Raw genomic sequence first — 5,302 nt, forward strand, 5'->3', positions numbered from 1 at the left:
TTTTATTTTTTGACTCGGCAGTCCTTGTTGAAACATTTCAGGTGGCTCTGACAGAGATGAAACTTGGGCTTTGAAGAACACTTCATGCTCTTGTGAAGAGTTAATGAATAAAATCACTTACTGCATAGTGGATACTTGTAAAGGAATTATGACACCAAGTTTTAGACCATGTAATTTGTGGAAATACACTAAAATAGGGAATCCTAAAGGTATAATCCACAATACTTGCTATGGAGATTCCAAGGAAAAAGACATTTCACCATTTGAAATATAGAGTTACATGGAACAGGCACTAAATAATACATTTTTTAAATTAAAAAATCTTAATTTGGAAAGTATAGGATTCAAATTAGATCAATGTTATTCTAATAATGACAAGTCAGAAGCAACACAACAATGAGGACAGGAACAAAATTAAGGAATATTAAAAAATAGAGAAATTCAACTAACAACAGGAATATATATATTATATTATACTTATATTCTGTATTATTAAGATATATTATATATATATGTATACTTTTATTTTTTGAGACAGAGACTCTTTCGCCTAGGCTGGAGTGCAGTGGTGCGATCTCCGCTCACTGCAACCTCCATCCCGCAGGATCAAGTGATTCTTGTGCCTCAGCCTCCTCAGTAGCTGGGACTACAAGTGCACGCCACCTCACCCAGCTATTTATTTTTATTTTTATTTTTGGTAGAGACAAGGTTTCACTATGTTGGCCAGGCTGATCTCAAACTCTTGACATCAAGTGATCCACCTGCCTTGGCCTCGCAAAGTGCTTGGATTATTGCCTCCACATCCAGTCAGAATATATGTTTTACATATATAAAACATATGTATATGTCTATAAAATTTTGGCTTTATTAAATGTAATCAAACAAATACAGCAAGAGCAATAATGGGAAAACATAGCAAAATTACCCTGCAAATTGGAAAGAATTATATACATATAGCTAAAGAGAAATTATGGAAAAATTATTTCAAGGGACAAAAATAATGTAAATTGTTAAGACAACATATGGAATACTATGCAGCCATGAAAAAAGAATGAGTTCATGTCCTTGGCAGGGACATGGATGAAGCTGGAAACCATCATTCTCAGCAAACTAACACGAGAACAGAAAACCAAACGCCGCATGTTCTCACTCATAAGTGGGAGCTGAACAATGAGAACACATGGAAACAGGGAGGGGACTATGACACACTGGGGCCTGTCGGGGGGTGGAGAGAGATAGCATTAGGAGAAATACCTAAGGTAGATGATGGGGTGATAGGTGCAGCAAACCACCATGGCATGTGTATACCTATGTAACAAAACTGCACGTTCTACAAATGTATCCCAGAACTTAAAGTATAAAAAAAGTAAGATAACATAGTTAAAGTAACTATTTTGTTAAAGTTATGCATAACAATGCAAGTTGAGACAATTTTAATGACTGACTTTACACCTGCTAATCTAACACAATTCATTAACTGTTTTGCCAGACTATGTGGAAGTATGCATATGTTTAGATATGTTAATGGTTTGTGAGTTTATTTGGTTATTCTGGAGACTAAACAGACAATATATAATAAAGATGATGAAATACTTTGATAAAAAGGTATAGAAATGCTCTCTGGTCAATTATTTGAAAATATATACCAATGAAACATCCTAAAATATAAAAAGGTGGTCATAGGCATCCATAATATTGAAAAAAGAAACCCTTCTAGAGGCCTTCTGTGTAGGCAACATCATAGTAAAAGAAAAATGAGGCCGGGCACGGTGGCTCACGCCTGTAATCCCAGCACTTTGGGAGGCCGAGGTGGGCGGATCACGAGGTCAGGAGATCGAGACCATCCTGGCTAACACAGTGAAACCCCATCTCAACTAAAAATCCAAAAGATTAGTCGGGCGTGGTGGTGGGCGCCTGTAGTCCCAGCTACTCAGGAGGCTGAGGCAGGAGAATGGCATGAACCCGGGAGGCGGGGTCTGCAGTGAGCCGAGATCGCGCCACTGCACTCCAGCCTAGGCGACAGAGCGAGACTACACCTCAAAAAAAAAAAAAAAAAAAAAAAAAGAGAAAAATGAAGAAATTCAGTTGGTAGAATGCAATATAGCCATTAAATAAGTTAATATATTTTTAGAAAAAAATATTCTCTTGAAGCGGAACTGATACATTGATGTAACATATCCAAAAATTATAACTATTTAAGATCACTAGTTTCACGATTTATCCTTTTTCCACTATTAATATTTAATGTTTGGCAAATAATTTAAAGTACGCTGGAATTATTTTAAATTGTGTATAATAATATGTAAGGTGTTTTAGAAAAATTAAACTCTTATTTGTACAACACCGTTTTACAATTCCAACTGAATAATACTGATTAAGACTTAACTGTGTGATACCTGGCTTAGTGTTTTCTTCCTGATATTAGAGCTAGATTTAGGGCTACAGGATTGATTGCTTCAGGTGATTTATTAATTTAGTAAAGCAATTAGCTTGTTGATTGTTTTCATTGAATCAATTAATTGTTGGAAAAAATAACCAAATTCATTTAATTGTTTGCTGACATAGCCCTAATCATCTTAACTTTCTTTCTTTGTTTTCCAAGTGAGAAATTGGATCTCAGCCACAGAAATCATGTGAGGATACAGCAACAGGAAAAGGAAAGGTACTTTTAGCTCAGCTGATATTGTCTGTGGTTAGCTCCTGAGCTATATTGAATTAAAAAATAATAATTATAAACACTTAACAATGTTCATCACATTTCCGCTATGACAAAAACGTGACACTTCACTCTTAGCTAAAAAAGACAGCACAATTTCAGGTATAAGAGTAACCAAATCTCAGAAAGTGTTTCAATTGCTACATATTATGAATACCAGAGTCTCTAATTATTCCATTTGCAATATGTAAAGTTGCTTTGTTCATGATAGCAAATAACAGCTTGGCAAGAACAATCCAGTTATTGGTATCTCTGAGTGAAAAATTAGTTTTCTATACACTTTACAAAAATGTCTGCCTGAATTAAAGAAATATTTCTAGAACAAAATCTCCTACAAGTCTATCAATGGATGAAGCTCTCCTACTATATTTGTAACATTATTGTTCTCAATATTAAAATATATGAGAGAGAAACAGAAGTTACCAAAACAACAGAAAACATCTATATCTCTATATTTCTATTTCTCTTTATAAATTCTGTCTTGTAAGGGTGGTGTGATTTTTCAAATGGCATTAATTCTATTAGCATTGGTTGGGTTGTGATGCAAAAATTTGGGAAACGTTTATGACTCCCATAGTGTAGACCCAAAATTATCAGTGGTGAGTAATACATTCAAGAATATCACTGATGCTAAGGTACAGATTGCTCATGTTTTCCTCTTCAGTTCTCAAAAGAGAACATTTTAAGCTTCAGAAGCATGAATGAAGCAGGCATGGGAGTTGGAAGTCTTTTGTGTTATTAGTTAACATAACTATTCCTTTGTACAGTGCAGGATTTGGGAAGAAAAACCTTAATAAGAAGTTTTTGTCTAAACCATTAAAACAGTTATCATCAGTTCTCAGTGACAATTGTTATATTTAAGAATCCAAACAAATAGACAAAATTGGTGTCTGCCTTGTTATCCCAAAAATAATTGAGGTCTTCTCCTGATAGGATACACTTCCTATATCCTCATAAACTTTATGGGTTTTGGGTCAAAGCTGAAATCAATAATAAAAAACCCATGTAGCTCAACTATTGTTGCTAGAAAAGACAATATGAAAATATTTAATCTTGACTTGGTTGATAATGTCATAGTGTGTAAAAAGAAAATCATAGGTGAGTGGGTGGGGCAATCACTGAAGTCCTTTCATATTATTCATATTATTGACCTCATGCTTTTTGGAGAAGGGACTGGATCCCAATTTCAATACCAAATGAACTACACTGAGCTGAGATAGGGATGACGGGAGGTAGGCCAATGTTAGCTCCATTTGAAAATGAAGTAAATGTTTGGAATTTCAAGTGTGCCTTCTTTAGGTGTTTCTCAAAAATTGTAACTGGAATTTATTGCAGATAATACCCATGTGATAATTTTGTTATTAGTTCACATAAGTAGACTACAAAAAGCTGTTAATATTGTTTTTAATGGCATGCATTTTATTTACATTTGAAAAACCATTCCACATACATGGTGCAAATGTTTTGGTATGCATATAGAATTTGAAGCCTCTTACACTAACCCTGGTGTTCACATGTTGAAAATTCCTCCTGCATATCTTTAGTAAGGAAGAATTTTGCAAAATAATGCTAATTTGAAGTGTCCATTCATCACAAGTTTTTCTCCAAAGAGAATTTTAAAGACTGCTTTGTTAAGCATGAATATAACATTCAAATTAAAAGATTTTATTAAATAATGAACAGGTGATGATATTCAAACGAGGAGATGATATTGGAGAGGAGTATGGTGCCCTGCATTATGAATAGGTGGGAGAATGGGAGTCCAGAATATAACTAAAAAGTGAGAATGTAAAAACTATGAAGGCTTTAGCTATTATCACAGCATGGGGGCTAGGAAAGCTTATGGTTTTGAAGCACAAAAGTAAAATTTTGGAAGGAAGGCCTAAGGTAAAATTTTTGAAGTGTACCTGTGTATATAATCTTGTAAATTCTCTATTCATGTCCCTCTGAAGTCTTTGGTGTATTGCTTATAGATTCTTTGGGTAGAAGGGAATTCTATAATATAAATGATCCAGTTTGGCAAGAGCAAAAAAAAAAAACAAAAAAAAAACAAACAAAAAAAAAAAACCAAAAAAATGCTTTCCCTGGAAACATGTCGTCTAGGAATGACACCAGATATGACCGAGTGGAGGCTTTTCATATTCTTCCCTTTTACTGCTTAGTTCTGAGAGTGAATACCGTGATTGATATTCACAGAAAGCACTGTACACTGTAATTGATAACCTTCATGAATCTTTTTGCTTTTTGCTTTTTTGGGGATGGGTCAAATGAGAACAAACATTTCAAAGCCTTAAAGATTTCAAATAAAAGTAAAGGGCTTTCTTTCTTGAAGTGGGTCCCATGGAAATTCAGTATTTTTAGGCTAGATAGGATAAATAAAATAACAATCTAACATGATCAAGATTTATAAGTTTTAATTTAAGGTAAATGCCTCTGTTGTAATATGTAATAATGCAAGGTAATTATATCTAATATGAATAAAATATACAAGTATATAGGCATAAATCATTATTTAAACAAGAGTACCTCATTTTGCAGACATACTTGATCATGGGTGAATATGCAAGTTTCCTGTTCTAATCTCAT

This window comes from Homo sapiens, chromosome 6 (genome assembly GCF_000001405.40).
Source record: "Homo sapiens chromosome 6, GRCh38.p14 Primary Assembly".
NCBI classification, from domain to species: Eukaryota; Metazoa; Chordata; class Mammalia; order Primates; family Hominidae; genus Homo; species Homo sapiens.